General features: G+C 38.1%; 2 long non-coding RNA genes across 2 annotated transcripts, besides 1 other annotated feature; one reads left to right on the forward strand and one right to left on the reverse strand.

The window, feature by feature from the left end:
- Nucleotides 1-1,523: 1,523 nt before the first annotated feature.
- Nucleotides 1,524-8,385, reverse strand: LINC01441 (long intergenic non-protein coding RNA 1441). The gene is made up of 3 exons (NR_110064.1): nt 8,257-8,385; nt 4,665-4,798; nt 1,524-3,550 (listed from the first exon to the last, which is right to left on the reverse strand). It is a non-coding gene; the product is annotated as a long intergenic non-protein coding RNA 1441 (long non-coding RNA).
- Nucleotides 4,171-4,845: an enhancer, noted in NCBI's record as "OCT4-NANOG hESC enhancer chr20:54039521-54040195 (GRCh37/hg19 assembly coordinates)". NCBI's record gives its function as "activates a minimal SCP1, AML or CMV promoter by ChIP-STARR-seq in primed H9 embryonic stem cells {active_cell/tissue: H9 hESC(primed)}" and the evidence as "EXISTENCE:reporter gene assay evidence [ECO:0000049][PMID:30033119]".
- LINC01440 (long intergenic non-protein coding RNA 1440) lies at nt 4,231-7,979 on the forward strand. The gene is made up of 3 exons (NR_110629.1): nt 4,231-4,434; nt 7,059-7,258; nt 7,748-7,979. It is a non-coding gene; the product is annotated as a long intergenic non-protein coding RNA 1440 (long non-coding RNA).
- Nucleotides 8,386-20,688: the final 12,303 nt, after the last annotated feature.

Genomic DNA, 20,688 nt, shown 5'->3' on the forward strand with positions numbered 1-20,688 from the left:
TTATGGTTTGCCAAATAATGCTGTCCTCCTCCCTGCCAACACACACACCAAGTACCCACTTCTTAATCCCCAGAACCTGAGCTCGATTACTGTGTTATCTTCCATGGCAAAGGGACTTTGCAGATGGGATTAAGTTAAAGCCATGGAGGCAGGGAATTTATCTTGGATTATTCAAATGGGGCTACATGAATCCTTTAAAGTGGAGAACATCTCTCAGTTTTCGTCAGAGAAAGGGATGTGATTATGGAAAGGGGATCAGAGTGATCTGATGTGAAAGGGACTTATCTATCCCATCCTTGCTGGCTTCCCATGGAGGAAGGCACCATGAACCATGGTATAAGAGCAGCCTCTGCAAGCCGGAAAAGGCAAGAAACAAAGTTCCTCCTAGAGCTTTCAGAATGGAGTGCAGCCCTGTCGACACCTTGGTTTTAGCTGAGGGAGACCCATGTCCGAACTGTGATCACAAATACTGTACGATAATAAAGTTGTGCTACTTTAAACCATGAAGTTTGTGGTAATTTGTTATGGCAGCAACAGAAAACTAATACAATATTTTTATTGTTTTTTGTTTGGGCGGTGGTGTTATTTCTAGTTTATTTCTTCCTTGCCAAAATGAAATATAATTATCCTGTGTTAATCCCCTAATCTGAATTCTCCACTCCTTCTGCCTTACATGTACCTCTTCCTCCTTTCTTCCCTTTCTTCTTTTTTAAAAATTGTGTTATGAAATTTAACTGTTGACACATAGAATAAACTCCCTGGTTCTTGTCCATGACGCATTCTATGTATGGCTCTTCTAATCCGGTCCCTCCTTCCAGTTGCATGCCCACCCCCAACTCTTTAACCTCTAATACGGTAAATCTCAGACTTCCCAGTGATCACAATTCCTCTGGTACTTGTGAAGATGCACACGCCCACTTCCCACCATGCACCTGCTGAATCAGCATCTCCCAGAGAGGGATCTGAAAATCTATGTATTTAGCAAGGCATATAGTCATTTGTTAATTATGAGAAACACCATTTTATTAGCAGCACCAAACCTAATATCCCCTGTATGTGCTATGCCCTCCCCACAACCCATTCATGCCTCTAATCAGGTTTCCTTCTGCTAGAATTCCCTCACTCCTCTCCTTCTTCCCATTCTGGTTCCTTCCCTGACTTTACCAGGCCATCTTCTCTTCCTAATTGATGTTATTTGATCCGGATTCTCACTTCCTGTGAGTCCCCTAGCTGACCCTCTATCTTCAAATCATGTAGAGCATTCACATAAATGATGATGGCTGCATTTACCATATTGTCCTGTAATCATCTGTTTGTCAGTCTTTCTTCATCAGCAAGATTGTGTCCTTGGATGCAGGGATTGTGCCTTGCTCATTTTTCTCCTCTAAGGCCCAGCAGGTGCTGAAGATGTATTAGATGCTAAGCAAGTGCTTTCAAGAGGAATGAGTGAAAGAATGGTCACAGGAATGAATTAAATACTAAAGGCATCACATAATGAGCTAATTCTCTACTTTCTCTTTTTTAAGCACCATGCTCCTTTCAGTTAATAGCCTAAGGGGATTCAATTTAGAGAGCCTGTCACAAATGTCCATATGAGAAAGGAAATCTGGTGTGTGGGGTTTCTGGGTTAGAAAGAAAGAAGTCATGCTATGCCAACTTTACCTTCAAAATGTATTTCACTTATTACTAAACACTTCTCACAACTCCATGGACAGCATGCTGGTCCAAGTGTCTGTCATTTCTTTGGCCTCACAGTGGTTCTTGAATATAATAAGCACAGGGGCTTTTGCCCTGGCTATTCCCTCTGTCCTAGATAGTATTTATATACGGTGGTATATGTATCATGGCTCAATTCCTCTCGGAGAGGGTTTGTCTAAGTGACCTATCTCAAATATTGCTCCTATCACAAGTGGTTTAATTTACCCTGCTATATTCTTTATTTTCTCTATAGTGCTTATATAGGATGTATATTGTACATTTTTTTCTATCTTGCTAATAAGAATATAAGTTCCATGAAGGCAGAAATTTTGTCTGCTGTATTCACTGTTCTATCCCCAGGACTTAGAATCATTCCATGTATACAGCAGGTGTTCAGTACAGATCTGTTGGATGTTGAATACGGGTGTGGCAGAATATTCCAGTAGAACCAAGCAGCCTAGTCATTACATAATACAAGGTGCGATACATGCATACACTCATCCCACCCAGGACACATCAGACATCTTAAGGTGGCATTTTAAATGCACCTTAATTTATATCTGCAATTGCTAAGACACAAAAATTTAATGAATATTTTCTTCCATGTTTTTTTTACGTCTATTTCCTCAGAAAGCATGGGAGATTTTGCCTGTCCGTTGTTGCCATCGTTTTCCCTTGTTAAAGTAGTCCCCCAACCTACTGCCCGTTGCAGCCTGAGGGAACAAGGCTGGGTTTTTGTGGATGATGGTGTCCTGACGCAGGTCCACTTTAGTTTTTCCTATTCCTATGGTGATGCTGCTGAGGACCAATTAAAAATAAACAAATTGGGGCAGGCACGGTGGCTCACCCCTGTAATCCCAGCACTTTGGGAGGCTGAGGCGGGCGGATCACGAGATCAGGAGATCGAGACCATCCTGGCTAACACGGTGAAACCCCATCTCTACTAAAAATACAAAAAATTAGCCGGGCGTGGTGGTGGGCGCCTGTAGTCCCAGCTACTCGGGAGGCTGAGGCAGGAGAATGGCGTGAACCCGAGAGGCAGAGCTTGCAGTGAGCTGAGATCACACCACTGGACTCCAGCCTGGGTGACAGACTGAGACTCCACCTCAAATAAAAAAAAAAAAATAGTTAGAGGTGTGCCCTGAGCCATTGGAGTGGCAGGCATGGAATCTCATTTAACTTTTACAACAGAGCCATTTGTTCCTTGTCCAGCCTCCCCCAGAATGCCGTCTTGGTTTGAATTCCTGGAGCGGTGTGGGGCAACCATCTGTATGACGTGACCCCAGGAATTGTTTTTCAACTGCATGATATCTCTGTTATATCACGTCTAGAACTTTGCTAACTTCAGGCATGGTATTATCTTCCTACCTAGGAGTCTCTCACTTCATTTTGCTCATGCCCTGGAGGGATTTCTGAACTCTGATCCAGTTTTTTTTCCCTCACCTTGAAGTGTTTTTTTTTTCCTTCTAATACTATAAATGTAGCAATTGTAGTCTTGTCTCTTATATGTTGATTTCAATTCTTTGTTTTCCCCAGTTTTTCTTTTCTATCTTTGACGGCTTGAGATTTTTTTCTAATCCGCAAGAGTAAAATATATACTCCAGCGACCACTGTCATAGGCTACGTGGTTTTCTGTTTTGAGGTTTTGAGTTACATTTCTGTTGCTTCCTGGTCAACTCTGTACATCTCATGGCCCTGATGACATGGTAGTCACCGTGTCGTAGGTATCCTGTTCATTTGCTGGGCAGGAACAGCTGTCAGACAGTACATTTGATGGCTTTTCACAGAATCAGTCCTGCCTTTGAAATTATATTCTAAAAGCTCTTAGATGTCCATATCCACATTTCTTTGCCTGAAAAGAGAATAAAAGGGAAGAAAAAATATGTTGGATATATCAAAACGCATCAATTCTTTCTTCCCTCACCCATCCTTTCCATCTCCAAGTGCACTGTCCACAATATGTCCACAATATGGACATGTGCTTTGAACTCATATGGCTGGGAAGAATAGAAGGGAAGTGGATGTAATCTTGCCTGAGACCATGGTTATCACAGGGTGAAAGCAGGATGAGTCTGGGCTATCAGAAAACCCAAAGTCAGTGTATGCTAATCTAAGGTGACTAACCTGTCCTAGTTTTCTTGAGATTTTCCCAGTTTTAGCACAGGAATTCATGTCTTGAGAAAAACAGGATGATTTATCGCCCTACAGAATCATTCAAACACAACTCTAAGTGCCTACTCTGTGCCCAGCATTGCCCTTCAGGTAACTTGTGGTTTGGTCAGCCAGTCCCGTAGCCTGTCCTCATCTGCATTTGTCTTTCTTATGTTTCCATAAACCTTTAGAGGTTGCCCTTGTGTTAACAATTTCACATTCATGCCTGGGCTTGGTCGTCCTGAATGTTTGACCCTGTTAATTTGATTTTATTCTCTGACACGAACTTGGGCTGCCATAAATCCAAAATGAAAATGCTGTTTGGAGTCACAATGAAAATGGAATGCGAGAAGATTCTAGAGAAGACAAAATAACCCAAAGAAAAGAAGTATGGAAGGCAGGGGTAGCAAGGCGGAGCTGTGCCCTGTCACGGCACACAGAGAATGCCCATGGATTTTCACAAATGCTGTTAAAATGTGAAAAGAAGGTGTTTCTTTTTTCTTCAATCTGAGCTTCAAGCTAATATGGGCATTCAGCTAAATCCCTCCTGGGTCCTGAAACAGTATGTGGTTTTGGATTTCAAAGGTAATTATTGCTGAATTCATTGTATGGCCAGTGCACCTGCCAGGTAGACATTATAAAAGAGCATGCAGGGGGCCACCAAGAGAATTTGGAGGACAATTTCTCCATCACAAAACCCCTTTGAAAGCCTATTAAGGCATCAAGTGCCAGGAATGGAGTTGAACATATTCATAATACAGTTAACAATGCAAATGAAGCAACAGTTCCAGGTCGGAGAAAATGCCGATGCTTACCTGAGAAATTCGGGCTCCATTGTATTGTGTCTGTCCTGCAATTGACTCACAGTGAGTTATCTTGTAGAAAAGTGGCATATTTGCATATTTAGATCCTGCCTGGGATAAGCAAGAGAAATACATGTTCTGGCTTTCTGAAATGAAATTGAGAGAGAAAAAGGGGGCACATATTGCTCAATATGCTCATTTATTCATTAAAAATACAAGTATGTACATCTCTCAGGCCTTCATTGGGCAACTGCCCTTGGGAGAAAATAGAGACAAATAAGAATAATAAAAAGCCAGCAGCCCTGTCCTGATGGAACTTAAGATCTAGTGGGAGAATCAGAAATAAATTGAATAATTACCCACGTTAATATAAAATTGCAAATGTAATAAGACCCTCAAGAAGAGGTACCAGGATTTCTGAAAGCACAGAGTAGAAGAATTTGAACCAGTTGGGGACTTCCCTGAGAAACTGAAATTAGGCTGAGGTGGGCAGTGTTCACACTTGCTCGCTGCCTAATCTGGGACAGCACTGCCGACAGCTTGACCTGCATTTCTCCAAGTCTCCACAACTAATTTTGTAGGTAGACATTGTCCCTTCACACCCTCAATAATCTTATGAGAAGTGTTTAATAACCTTAGGAAGAATACTCCACCATTGTCAGTAACCGTAAGGGGAATGGCCCATCACCCTCAGTAACCTTAGGAGAAATATCCCGTCATAATCAGTAACCTAAGGAAGAATATTTTATTACAGTCCTAGACTAGAGGCTTCCTGAACAACCTCTCTTTTGTACCTCTGTAACTATTCCTGTACTGCAAAAGTCCAAATCCTGCATAGAGTAGCAACTCAGATATTAGTCAAATTAATTTATTTATTCCCACCCTACAGATTTGAAAAATGTGGCCTAGAAAGGTTAACTAGTGTGCTGAAAGCCATATAGCTAGTAAGAGGCAGAGCCATGATCACTACCAAGCTCTCTGTGTCCAGAATAAAAGGGAGTGGCATTCAGATTAGAGGGCACAGCAAGAGCCTCATGCATATTCCTGCAAAGGACAAGGATTTGCTGCCTTTCCTGTACATCCCTAAAGAGAAGGACCTTCAACTCCTCCTTCTGGTCACGTGTATTTCCCCTGAAAGCAGAACCTAGGCAGTGTTTTTTGCCTTCATGGTCAAGAAACACATGTCAGCAAATGGTAGAGAGAGGGTTGTGCTGCTTTGAGACACGGGCTCCCAAGATCGCCTATCTTGCTGATAAAAGTACAGATAAGCCTGTCAGATAAGCCTCCTGCTGCAATGACTGAGGTCTCCAGCTCTGGATTGCTTGCTGTGGACAATTCCTCTTGGAAAGCTGTGCAAGCACCTTTTGAAAACCACACAACACTGAGAAGCTTCCTTCCAGCAGAAGCACAAAAACTGGAAACCTTGAGGCTTCACCCATGTGGATTAAGTAAAATGTTTTAAGTGACTCGGAGGCTACTTATAAAAAACAATTTACATAAATTGATGTTCTATTCGAAGAGGGTAGAGAGGGTGGTTTTAATTTTTTCAAAACTTTCCTCTTAGTTTTAATAGTGGCAGTGGCCTCGAAGAAGCAACTCCTTTTAATAAAACATGCTTGTAAATTTATTGAGACAGACTCCAGTTGACCCTATTTCAGGCGAACCTCTGGGGCCTCCCACATACAGCTGTCATGAGTGCTGAGGAGCCTGGGATTTGAGTTGCTGGAGGAGTCCATTCTCCATGACTCATGCTTTCTGGGCTCTGAGATGCTCCAATTCATTTCAGGGTATTTAATTTCTAAGAGTATTCAAGGTTTTGTTGAAGATCTAAACAGTGCTTAGAAATTTTTACCCTGGTTTACCTTGATGAAAATGAACCTGGGAGGACTGAGGTGCAAGCATACAATAATCACACACACACAAAAGACAAATACTAAGCTCATCCATGTGGCCCAGACAGGAAAAATGTCATAAATATAAAATCATGGATTATAATGTGGTTACATATAGTTACTTATTTTATTGTCCTTGTTTTTTTAAGAGGTGATATGTGAATATGGTAAATATTTTAAACAGATTAAAATTATTTTCTAATTAGAGATAATTCTCTCTCCTTCTCTCTCATGTCACCCAGTTTTCCATTTACCCTCCAAAAAGATAGCAACATAATGAATTTCTTCTAGACTCTTCCAGAAATATGTGTTGTCCATTTAAACATATATTTTCCATCCTCTAACATATACTTTTATACATGGATATAGTATGTGGACAGTATTATGCATTTTGATTTTTAGTTAATAATAAATCTTTTGAGGTACCCACTTCAATAATAATAATAACAACAGCAGCAAACAAACCCATATAGAGTATGTGTCTAAACCTGGCACTTTTCTAAATTATTTTCAGATAATCCCTACAACTTCTGGGAGAGGTGCAAGTATCAACCAGTTGGAGACACAGGGAAAGGGTGATATAATGCAGAAAGTGACTTGAACAAATTTACACAGAAGGCAGTGAAGTGTGATTCAAATTCAAGCAGTCTAGACTGTGCCCCACACAACTCTGCAGCATAACCTTGCAGTATGAAAATAATGCCTCTCATGCAGGTATGCCTTATTCTTTTTAAGAGCTGCATAATATTCCTTTGCATGGATGTATCATTGATTTATTTTGTTCACTGTTAGTGATGTCTTAGACTTTTTCCTACAGTTTGCCATTGTGAGCAATGTTTCAATTTTTGAATATTTCACCACGCTTTTGAACCCATACTAACCGCACATATTTGTAAAATCAATTAATCAATTTATAGTAGTAGATTTATAGGCTTTTTAAACACCAAAAGCTAATTTTCTTCTTACTAGTAGGGAGATATGGATGGGACTTACTGAAACAAGTCATATAATGCATCTCTATTCTTGCAGCCAAATGAAAATGGCCCCATCAAAGTGCAAGTGCTCACTAAATATTCGTTAAATGAAAGAATTAAATAGAAAAAGCTACCATTTAAAAACATTATCACAATGCTAAAAATATGTTGATTTATAAGATCTCATTAAGTTCATGCAATTAAAGCAACCATTATCCTCATTTTACAGATCAGGGATATGAGATCCAGTGACTTACCCAAAGTTTCAAAGGAAAGATGTAACAGAGCCATCTCTGAACTTCTGCTCTTGGGAATCTACACACTCTTTCCACTAGTTCTGACCTTAGCAGGTGTTTGACCCAGGACTTGCCCAACTTGGTTTCCATTTGTATAGAACTAATGCCAAATTTCAAAAGAAAATATTACATACCATAATCAATAAAAACAAAATATCAAACATGTATTATGTGGGAAAGACTGAGATAAATACTTGGCATTGCATTACCTCAATACTGTTGGCAACCTTCCTACGAGCCTCATGCAATTACTGCTACCACTTTGCAGATGAGAAAAAGAAAACTGATGCTAAGCAAAGTTTAGTAACTTGCCCAATATCACAAGAAGTAGTGAGTGACAGAGGAAGACTTAGCTCACATCTGAGTGTCTCCAAATCCCAAATCCCAAAGCCTCATGCTCTACCTTTTTACTGGAAGTTAAAATAAATATTATGACAGATACCTTTTTAAAACCTTAAAGATGATATGTATTGGTCGTACTGATTCCTGAATGCATCTGTATTTCCTAAGGCTTTTCTGTCCTTTATTTTCAAGAGTCTTCCATATACCTCTTAGGGAATCTGTCTCAGCTAGTATTATAATGAGAACTATCATATAGCAAATATTTAGCTGCTTAATAAATAACTACATATTTTTTAAAAAATGACAAACTCACGAGAATTGGCCTTTACTTAATAATCACAAACACCAAGCTTATGAATATTTCATGCTCACTGCTTTCTGCTGAGAGCGTGAGCATCCTGCATTTCTATAGCTCCAGATTATGCAGGGAGCAATGGAAACCATATGTTTTGTGTGTTTTCTTTAACAATTTGATGATGGAAGAACACCTGGCAGTGTTGGAGATAATGTAAGAAATGGTCGCCTTTTGTTATTTGAGTGCTTGAAATAAAAATCTCAAATGGCAAGTTGTAATCCAAACCACAGTAATTATAGAAGACAGTACAAAAAGGTATACATTTTAAATTCATACATCTAAATGAGTCTATCTGCAAGTAAGTAAACTGTATTCAATTTTCCACAGCAACTACCCCATCAACACTATCACCCAAAACACTGATGACATGGTACTGCTCAAATGTTGGAAACTTTCAGTTTTGAGTTCAATTGTTTCTTTCTTTGTTCTTTCCTTTCTTCCTTCAATCAATGAATGTTAGAGTTGTTTTTAAGTGATCTCAGGAAGTACACAGTTCAATGAATATGAGGAGTAAGAAACCTAAATGAAGGATAGGAAGACAGAGAAGTCTTCCTCTAAGACGGAATGTTTAAATCTGGATGAGGGGATTGGTAAGAGTTTACCAGGCAGAAGGGTAGAACTCAGAGGAGGTTACAGGCATGGGAATAACTCACAGAAAGAAGCAGGTACTTTCTAGACATCGGAGGGAAGCCAGAGTGGCAATTGCGTAGTGACAAGGGGAGTGGCAACATGAGGCTGGCAGAAGCAGATAATGCAGAGCCTTGTAAAGCTTGATAAAGAGTTTGAACATTCGCTCAAGAACAGTCAGAAGCCATTGAAGGGTGTGAAGCTAGTGAGAGACAGAATCTGACTCAGGATTGTCAAGATTATTCTGGATGAGGGGAGACAGGAAGAGGAAGGGAGAGAGGTAACTTAGGACATAAGTGTAGTAATTCAGATAAAATATTATGTTGGCCTGGAGACCTGGTCCGGAAGAGTGACAGTGAGCTGGAAAGAGGTGGGTGGACTGGAGAGATATTACAAAAATGAAATATACAGACAAGAGTGATTGATCAGGTGTTGGCAGTGAAAGAGGAAGATGTCAAGACTGACTTAGAGATGCATGACTTGACAAGCTGCAGACATGGAGATCCGTTTTGAACTTTATGACATTATTTCAAAATTCTCTATTTTCTCTCCTGGGAATATTTAGCAAAAAGAAAAAAGCCTGTAGACCATTTTCAAATTGTGCTTAATCAAGCCAAGACTTGTGCCCACCTCTTCAGGGTGAGGAACGCCCTCTGTGTTCATTTTACTGCTCTATTTTCAGTGCCTGGTGTAGCATAGGGAGGGATAGAGTAGGTGTCCAATCATGAGTCTATACTAGGAGATGAGATGTGTTCCTAGCTGGGTTATAAGAATCTTGAGGAGGAAGGCTTCCCTGTCTTTATCCTCCATTTTTTTCTGTCCTTCTTTATTTCCTTCTAAACTTTTTCCTAAGTTACTCATTTGTGAGTTATTTTACAGAGTTAAACAAATTGATACTAAAGTCCATATGGGAAAACAAATATTATGAATAACCAGAAAAAAAAAATAATAGAAAAGAAAGGTGTTCTTTCTTTTCTGAAAGACAGTAGCCCTAGAGCAGGGCTCTAGGCGGAGTAGCCCTAGAAGACATTAAAACACACTATAAAGTCACTATACTTAAATCAACATGGTTCGGGTACATGAATAAACTAATAGACCAGTGGGATAGAAGGGAAGACCCACAGATAGTCCCAAGTATCCATGAAAATTTATTATATAATAAAGGTAGCATCTCAAAGCATTGAGGTAAAGAAGAAAATTTTAATAAATGGTGTTGGGGCAACTGGGTAGCCACTTGGAAAAAAGTAAAATTAGGTCCATATTTTACACTATATACAAGAATAGACTCCAAATAACACCCAAATTTTTTAAAGTGAGACTATGCAAGTACTAGAAGAAAACATGGGCAAACTCCACTTTAACCATGCTGCAGAGAAAGACTTTGTAATTATGACTGCCTATCCAAATGCAATACGGGAAAACATGGATATATTTTACTAATGAAAAAATAACTACATGAAAAAGCAAACAAAACAAAAATGAAGTCAAAAGACAACTGAAAACTGGGAGAAAATATGTACAACATACGCTACAAATGAAGCACTAATATAGGCATTTTATATATATATATATGAATAATTCTTAAAATTTGAGGGCAAAAAGAAAAAAAATCTGATTTTTTTAAAATGAGGGATGACAGGAACAATTACGGAAACATACAAAGATGCAAAAATGTTCTTGAAACATATGAAGGACCAATCACTCATAGTTTGAGAAATGAAAATAAAAATACTGACATGCAATTTATCACCTATCAGCCTGGCAAAAATTAAACGTGTGTCAATACACTCTGTTGTTGAGGCTATGGGGAGACAGGAATTCTCACACTTTGCTGATGGGAACACCTAGCGGTGCAACCCCTCAAGAGAGGAATTCGGCAAAATCTAACAAAACTCCACATGCCTACAACTTTTGCACTGCAGTTCCCCTTCTAGGAACCTACCCTGAAGGTACATTCCCAGCAATATGAAAACACTATACACTGGGTTATTCATGGCAGTCTTGATCATAATGCAAACATTTGGAAACAACCTAAATGCCCGTACATAGGAGAGCACTTGAATAAACAATGGCACATCCGTAAAGTGGAGTATTGTGCAGCTGTAAGAAGAATGAGGCAGAGTTCTACAAACTGGCTTGAAGTGATTTCCAGAATCTACTGTCAGGTGAAAGTAGCAAAATTCAGAAAATTATCTATAGTAAATTGTCCTTCAAGTAGAAAAAAATAGGCTACAAGAAAATATACATTCATCTGCTCATGTGTGCAAAAGAAATGCAGGCTGGATAAACAAGAAATTATAGATTGGTTATCTCCATGGGGTGGGTGGGAAAATGCTGGAAAGGAGAATGAGAACAGGGTAGCAGGAATATGGAGAGGAGACACTTCTCTAAGTATACCTTATGGTATTGTTTTGACTTCTAGAATCTTGAAAAAAAACACACACCAAAAAAACCATATAAGAAAAAAAAAAAAAATGGAACCAAACATACAGAAAAACCAACAGGATGTGAGAGGAATCCAGCACAGAATACAAATAGGAATACATGAAGCTAACTGTCGGACAAATGAATAATGTCGCCTCATTGAAGGGGGTGAGGAAGAAAATAACTCACTGAAGTAACTTTAGAAAACAGAACTGTGAGTGGCTATCATAAGGCTAAAGGCAAAAAGAAATGTTGAAACATGCTGGGCTTTAGTTTGTAAATCTGTTTCTCACAAAAGTATGAGTAAGCAATTCAGAAATCCTGTTATGTATGAAGTAGGATTAAATAAATAAGTAAATAGATTGTAGATAATGAGTGCCAAGTTTCTCACTTCTAAAGAAAGAATTTACAAATCAAGAGAGAAAGGAAAGGAAGAAGAAGAAGGAGGTGGAGAGGTAGGGGAGGGAGAACGAAAGGAAAAGAAAGACTCGCAGATTACCACACTTAAACTTGTAGCCCCATTCCTAACATGGGAACTGCCCATTCCTTTTCCTTATTTTGCTTTTCTAGATAGTATTTATTACTTTTCAAGTACACAGTAAATACTTACCACGATTGACTGGTTGATTGCCTGGCACTTAAGTTCCACAAAGCAGAGATTATTGTCTGTTTTGCTCACCTTTCCATTCCTAGTACATAGAACAGTGTCTTTCTAGAGTAATAGATGCTTAATAAATATGTGTTAAATAAAACATAAAATATGCTTTATTGCTTTTTTTATTTCCTGTTTATTTTTTATGTCAACTCTGTATGTATATGTACACACACATATATGTGCATATGTATTTGTGTGTGTATATATGCATATTTGTTTGCCCATATATAATTTTCTCTAGAGATCCAGAAATTATAAATCATCTTTCAAAATCTAGTAGGAAAATGTTTCCCAGTTTTAGAATACATCAAACACTTCTGCAATATGCTAAACGCCAGATTCTGGGCTTTCATTCCCATAATCTGATTCGGGATGTGTAATATAGGGCTCAAGAATTTACATTTTAAAAATAAACATTTTGGATGATTCTAATCTAGGTTATCAGTAGCTACAGATTGACAGCATCAACTTAATTAGCTGTTGATGGGCTGCTCAGTAGAGGACTGATCCCAGTCTGTGTGGTGAGAGCTGGGAGAGAGAGGGAAGACCCAGACCTGACAGCGGTGAAGTATATCCACTGTCAGTAAGGAATGGGGAATAAATCATTCCAGGCAGAGAAAGAGGCACTGGTATAGCTTCAGAATGGACAGAGGGAGGGAGTAGATTCACAGACATAATGTCCATAGAGGCATAACGGCAAGTTCTCTGCAGGTGAAAGTACGGATGACAGAGGTGCTGGGCTGGGGGACAGTGTCCCGGAAGCTTTGTTGTTGGGGTGCAATGAAGAGCATGTGGGAAGCATCCATCTGGAATGAGAGCACACTGGGAATGTCTAAAAATGGAAAGCAGCACATATGGTGAAGGTCTTCACGTAAAGTGGTGATCAATGCTGGAGAAGCCCATAGTTGGTCCTAATCATGAGCCTTCAGGTTTGGAAAGATGCTGATGCCATTCCTGGTGGTGGGCAAACTCCAAAGGGATGTGTCCATATGTGATTTTGGAAATGAGACTGACAGGACTGTGAAAAACCAGACAGAGCTAGAAATATCTTCAGAATTTCAACATCATCTCTCTCTCAGGGGCAATTTTTTTCTATCATTTTCTAATAACAATATCATACATAGGCATACAATGAGTATATTTGTTATAAGACAAAATGGGACCTGATATTATTAATAAATAAAAACATCTTAGGATGATTAAATTTTTTTTTAAAAAAATTACAGAATTAAGTTAAAGAAAAGAAGTGTTTTCCCACAGTAGTTGGCATGATATAACCCAAGGGTCAACACATTTATTCTGTAGGGACAGTAAGTAAATATTTCAAGCTTTATGGACCAAGAGGCAAAATCAAAGCTATTATTAGGTACTTTTATCAAAACAGAGATAACAGATTTTGGCAAAAAAAAATGATAAAATATACAATATGAAAATAACAATTTTGTCATTAAACATTATTAATAAGGTATTAGAGTGAATTTTTTATAATATGCAACTAATAATTACAGAAATATAATTTTTTGGGGGATAACATTTTGCTTAATTAGGATCGAAGTTAGTGTTCCCTGTCATATCAATTGCATGTGTTCCTATGTATGATCCCTTCTTAGTTCAACAAAAATAGGGGGCAAGTGGGATATTGCCCTGGTGCCATAGCTTGCTGACCCCTTATCTGATCCATACCTAACACTGATCTGACCCATGCCTACCCCCTTAAAGCTTATCATATTGGGCCGGGTGCGGTGGTTCACACCTGGAATCATAGCACTTTAGGAAGCTGAGACGGGCTGACGGCTTAAGCCCAGGAGTTCGAGACCAGCTTGGGCAACACAGAAAGACCTCGTCTCTACCCCAAAAAAAAAAAAAAAAAAAAAAAAAAAAAAATCCAGGCATAGTGGCGCATGACTGAGGTCTCAGCTACTCGGGAGGCTGATCGCTGGAGTCTGGGAGATGGAGAGGTTGCAGTAAGACGTGATGACACCACTGTACTCCGGCCTGGGTGGTAAGTGAGACCCTGTCTCAAAAACAAACAAACAAACAAACAAAAAAAACCCCTCTCAGATCACATGCTGAAGAACAACTGCTTCTGAGAATAAAAAGTTTTCTATTCTATAAAGAAAACCTATCCTAACACAGAAAACCCATTGATTACTGGTGATGGTAAAACACAAGTGACTTAGTATAAAAACTTAGTACAAAGGATGTTAGGTATATGAAGAAATGAAAAGGGAAAGTGAGGCTAAAATCAGAAGAGATTCTAAAAGCGTAGCCATCACAAGCTTAGGAGAGAAAATTAGCCACCTTTCCAGACACTGCAGTGAAGAGAAAACTTATAAATTAGATTTATAGGGGAGTAACTTCAACAGGGACAAAATATAAACAGAAAAAACAAAGTCAAGTACCACTTGTAACTAACCTTGAACAGATCAACCCTGATGAATTAAGTAGCCTACCTACAGTATGTGTCTCTCTAGCAATGATTAACTACTGAATTGAAAATGAATTTATGTGAAATTGAGGATGCCTATGTTCAAGAGCAACATATATTAAAACTTTTGTAGAATAGCACTTCATATGAAATTCAAATTAGAAAAACTTTTGCTTCCTCTCGGTGAAGTAGGTAAAGGATATTTCAAAATCATTCAAGTTCTTGCTTTGCTTAAAAATCATTTGAACAATTTTTAATTAATTTGTAAATATCAAAAGTGAGAAAATATAGTCTACAATCCAATTTCCCTAACTATTCAACCACCTCCATGGTCTGTACAATGTTCATCTCCTTGTTTTATGCATGTAAAATATGGTTATGATAATCACTACCATAAATAATTTTGTATTCTGCGTTTCTTACTGTATATTGCAGACATTCCTAGGTTGCTTTATCATCATTATTGTTCTCATATTTTATGACAATTCAGTAGTCCATATTGACATTACATGTTATTGTTCATTTTTATGCTTTTCCTAGTTTTTCTTTATTAAAATAGTATTAAAGCTTTTTACTTCATTTTGGAATAAAAACAGTTTAAATGTGTTGTTCTATTGTAAAAATTAGTTTGAAATAGTATCAATATAGGAAGAAAATTACCCACAAATGTCATTCTGAAAACACCAATACTTTCAATTATTTATGTGCATCTTCAATTTCATATCATAAAATAACAATATAGCTAGAGCATTGTTTTCTATACTTTCCATTAACATTATGCCCAAAACTTTCTTTCATTTTTCTTTAGTGACTTGTGGTTTTCTTTATTTTTATTTATTTATTTATTTTTTATTTATTTTTTTTTTAATTTTTTTAATTTTTTATTTTATTTTATTTTTTCGAGACAGAATCTTGCTCTGTTACCCAGGCTGGAGTGCAGTGGTGCAATCTCGGCTCACTTCAAGCTCCGCCTCCCAGGTTCATGCCATTCTCCTGCCTCAGCCTCCCAAGTAGCTGGGACTACAGACGCCTGCCACCACACCTGGCTAAATTTTTGTATTTTTAGTAGAGACGGGGTTTCACCATGTTAGCCAGGATGGTCTCGATCTCCTGACCTCATGATCCACCCGCCTTGGCCTCCGAAAGTGCTGAGATTACAGGCGTGAGCCACCACGCCCGGCGGTTTTCTTTTACTTTACCTACAGTTACTGTTACTCACACTATCCTATATTGTTTTCTTTAGGTAATTTTTTGTTCTATGAAATCAATGCTCTGATGAACTTGTGTCCTGGTGTGTTAACCATCTCGTCTTGCTGGAATATAAGTATCATAAGGACAAGGACATGGTTTGTCTGGTCTCCTACTGTCTGCACAGGGCTTAGAATGGTGTCAAGCCCAGACTGAGTACTTAACTAATAATTGTGGATGAATGACTAAATGAAAACTAGAGCCTTTGCAGAGTAAGAGGTAGAGACATATTTTTGTATCCTGAAACCCTCATTCCAGAGCTATTCTCCTATACAAAATGAAAGAATAACCTGTGTGCTATTTTCTTCTCTGCCATTCCCTCAATGGGATTGAAATGTAAGTCTTTGTTTCTTAAAATAACTTTTTAAGGTTACAAAGGACTTCATAGTAAATCTTCCAAATCCCTCCAGAAACTGGAAAAGTTTAGTTCCCAGTATCTAGCAGTAAACTAAGGGCAGTCTATGGATGCTTAGTGGTGATCAACTATAAATATTATGACATACTATTTATGACACTTAACATTCACTTATGATATTACATTATAATATTTATACTGTCAAAAAAGGATATGAACTTTGAAGCCACCCTGGTAGATGACTTAATCTCAGTTTTGCTAATTACCAGCTGCCTAACTTTATGCAAATTACTTGCTCCTCTGTACCTCAGGGAAGCAAAATAGGGCAAAATAATAATGCACTTTTAGATGGTTGTGGTGAGGACTAAGGATTAAGCAAATTGATATAAATACCACAAATATATATATATATGGTTTTTATATATATGTTATATATATGGTGTTTTATATATATATATATATATGAAATAGTCCTTTGTATATAGAAAACACTCCTTGAATATTAACTATCATCATCACCATTATCACCATCATCAGCACCATCACCATCATCAACCATCATTATCATTACATAATGGTCACCAGTTGTGCAAGGCCCAAGTAACTTTTTACTTATAAAATTAAAATCTCAAAATTTACAAAGTATTTCTTTAAACATATAGGGCATGTCAAGGCTATGCTTTGAATATTCCTCTTACTTGTTTGCATTCTAATAAGGTCTCTTGAGTGGGAGATAAAGGGAAAAATGATCAACTTTCTGCTGGAAATGGTGCATAACCCTGAGTTTGAAAGTGCAAATGCATTACTCACGTGAATGTCATTTATCGTATGTGTTGAGGTGGGGTGGAGAGGGAGTGTGTTAAGTGCTGCTTCTTTTGACCATAAAATTCCAGAGGACAAATTATGTAAATTCTCATGGAGCTCAAGAGAGTGTCCTGCCAACCAATGAACATAATAAATCTTGTTGGTGCTGTAATGAAGACACTTAAGCTTCTGATAAAATGACTTCTTTCTTCAGAAGATTCCTTCAGGACCAAAGGCTTCCCTTGAAGGTGAAGGGGATATATGTTTTTACTGAGACTTATAAATTAAGTGAAAAAAATTCTATCTGAGTCAATGAAATACTCTTGTTTCATACACAGGGGCACTCATGGGCTCTGGCACATTCTCTTTCATATGCAGCACCTGCTGGAAATCTTTTAGTATAAAGCACAACTTTTGTATTGATTTTCCTCCCACCTTCTTAAACTTCTTCTTCTACATACTTATTAAGTAATGATGAGTTGGTAAAATCTTAACACAAATTAAGGACATGTAATGATCAGAAAGATAATTGCAATCACTACTTTTTGTGGATATAACCCACACCACAGATAAAAAACATTAACCACAGTAGTTTTCTCACGGAGATAGTAGTAAACATAGCCTATGCTGGGCTGCAATACCCTAACATCTCAGTGGCTTAACCATAGGAGCTTCTTTCTTACTCCTGCAAATTCTACTCTATCGCTGTTCTTTTCCAAGGCCTCTCTCTTCCCGTGCTGACTAAGAAATCCAGACCCTTCCTTTCTTGGGACTCCAACATCTTGTCATGTGCCTTCCATGGTCACCACTACAGGGGAAGACAGAGCCTGTAGAAGTCACATCCATTCTGTTACACTTCCATTTGCTTAATACCATTGGCCAAAGCTAATCACAAAATCCTGCCAAATCACAAGGCTAAAAAAAAGTTTTGGAGAGGGGTTACACAGACCTTCAGTGAGCAGTAGAGCATAAAGGTACAGTTACCAAAATGTATTCTGAGAAATGTGAGGGATATGAGGTATTCTGTAGGAAAATATAAAAGAATAGGAACATTCTACTAAACAAAACACTGTTGTTAATACGATGCTTTAAATTCTTCCTTGGAGATTGTTAATATCCACTGTCAGTTTTGAGAAATGATGCTATAAAAAGCACAGTTATCTTTATTTAATTCAGTTTTTTTTTGTTTGGTTTGGGTTTTTTTTTTTTTTTACAAATTTGATTGACCATATAATAATTTCTTTTCATAACACCCATGAACCTAATGTCCCGTTGAATCCACAGCAGGCATTTTGAAATACTGGCAATAAAAACATAATGGACACTTAATAAATATTTGGTGGATGAATGAAGAGTCACTTTTCAGACTCAGGGATGCTTCTGCATCAAATTTTGGAGAACAAAATTCCATACAACACCTGCATTACAAGTTGAAAAGTGAAAATCCTAGGTCAAACACTACCTTTTTCTTGCAACATGCTACATAAGAATCTTGTGGGTTTTTTGTTTTTCTCTGCTGACTTGAGTGGTTTTTTGATGTCATCAGCTGCAGCTCATCTGCCCAAAATTTCACAGTGGAATCATCAGGATTTATGCTCAGCATATGCAATCCACCCCACACCTCTTTACACGTGGGAATTTCGGGATGGAACATAAATACCCCATGTTATGGAGAGAATAAAAATAATACCTTGGATAAGCCATGCTTTAAATGGTGTTTCGTGCTAAAAACCTCACAAACCATTGCAGCGAGGTTCAGCAGCAGACAGCGCTACTTCTACATTCCACATAATCCAGTTCAGCGAGGCCTTCAGCAACGCACCCGCATCGTAACAACAGCTAATGGTTTGCCTTAGGTCCGCAGAGTGTCTGGTTGTTGGCAGCAAACCACAGAATCCAGGAGCAGAAAACAATATGGAAGCAATATTATTTTCTATCTAATTCTCTATAATCCAGAAGGTTGGTTATGCTGAATGATAACACACAGAGGAAAGATTAAATATAATAACATAATGTTCATGTTCTGCACCAGAAGTTATTACTTTTGGCACCACAGAGACAGATGGCTGGCACTGGCCATTGCCAGGAGGTGTTAAGTGGGTAAGTGGTGCAGAGGAATATAGTCATCTGTGGGGAAAATGACAGTAATGAACTGCTTGTAATGCTGTGAAAACTCAATGAATTTGATTAAACACAGATTGCAAAACTGTTTCCTGGACGACCATTGGACACACTCATTTACGCTGAAATGTGCTCTCTCCCAGATACAAGTCTGACAGGAAAACCACTGCTGCTTCTGCTGCCAATTTGTTAAGCATCGTGACAAGAGGAGTGACCGAGAAGATGGAAAAGCCCGGTCTGCCTAGTGCCCCTTCAGTTGGCAGGATTGCTGGCACAGGGCCGTCTAACTGTGCTGGAAGGTGTTTTAGAAGGGACAAGGTCAGCATAAGAAGAAGTCATCTTGGGCCTGGGGAACACACTTGTAAAAGTTTTTGTTAGATCTTTATGTTTCCAGCAACCACATTATTTGTATTAGATTAAGTAGTATATAGTTAGTTAGTTAGTATGTTTGTTTGTTTATTTATTTATAGAGACAGGGTCTCACTTTGTTGCTCAGGTTGAAACTCTTGAGCTCAAGCAGTCCTCCTACTTCAGCCTCCCAAATTGCTGGGATTACAGGCATGAGTCCCAAGGCAGTTGATTTAATGTGGATAGAAATATGTCAACGTAGTAGTGACAGAGTATGCACATGTATAAAGTTTGAAGCCTTCTAGAGAGAACACAGAATGGGACAGGATAAGAAAGCCTTATAGTTAAGGATGGTGTACACCAAGTGTGGTTACAGGACTCGTACTAGTATGTCGACTCTTCATTACTGTTCATAAGCAAAATGCAGAAATAGAAAGTAAGCATTTAGAAATGTTCATAGCAATTTGACAATTCTGTGGAATGTAATACTGAATAAATGGAGGTTGTGTTGTTTGTGCCTTTTAAAATTTTTATTTTTCTAGCAATTCATTTTTATTATACTTTACAAAAGTATTGTTCTGTGATGGATTGAGATTTTAACAAAAATGATCTTCCACCACAAACAGTTTGAAAAGCAATGCATTGGGATCATAGAGGCAGTTTTCATCTGCTTGTTTTACAAGATTCATTACTTTAGGCAAATTATTAACCTATCTACATTTTGAATTTGTCAATATTTAATAACTATCAGATATATCACTATTATTAAATAACTATATACACCATGAACTACTCACATAATCTGCTGAGAAATTACCAAAATATTTAGATGACCCGCTCTTACTCTTTCAAAAAGCATATGAGCTGAATGGTCAGTTAAGTTCAGTGTCTTGGAAGAATTAGTGGATTACATAACACACAGACTTGCTTCATTCCTGTATTTAGTTCATGCAACAAATATCTATTGAGCCTTGTTCTAGACAGGATTTCAGCTGCTGAGCGTGCACAAGTTAACTAGAATTGAAAGGATCCTTGCCCATGTGGAGTTTGCATATCTAACAAGGGCTACAGTCAATACAGAATGGATATAACACATCAGTAAACTGTACAGTATATTTCAGATTGAAAAGTGCTATGAAAAAATAAAAGCATAGCAGGGAAAGTAAA

The sequence above is a fragment of the Homo sapiens genome, chromosome 20 (genome assembly GCF_000001405.40).
Source record: "Homo sapiens chromosome 20, GRCh38.p14 Primary Assembly".
In the NCBI taxonomy this organism is placed as follows: domain Eukaryota; kingdom Metazoa; phylum Chordata; class Mammalia; order Primates; family Hominidae; genus Homo; species Homo sapiens.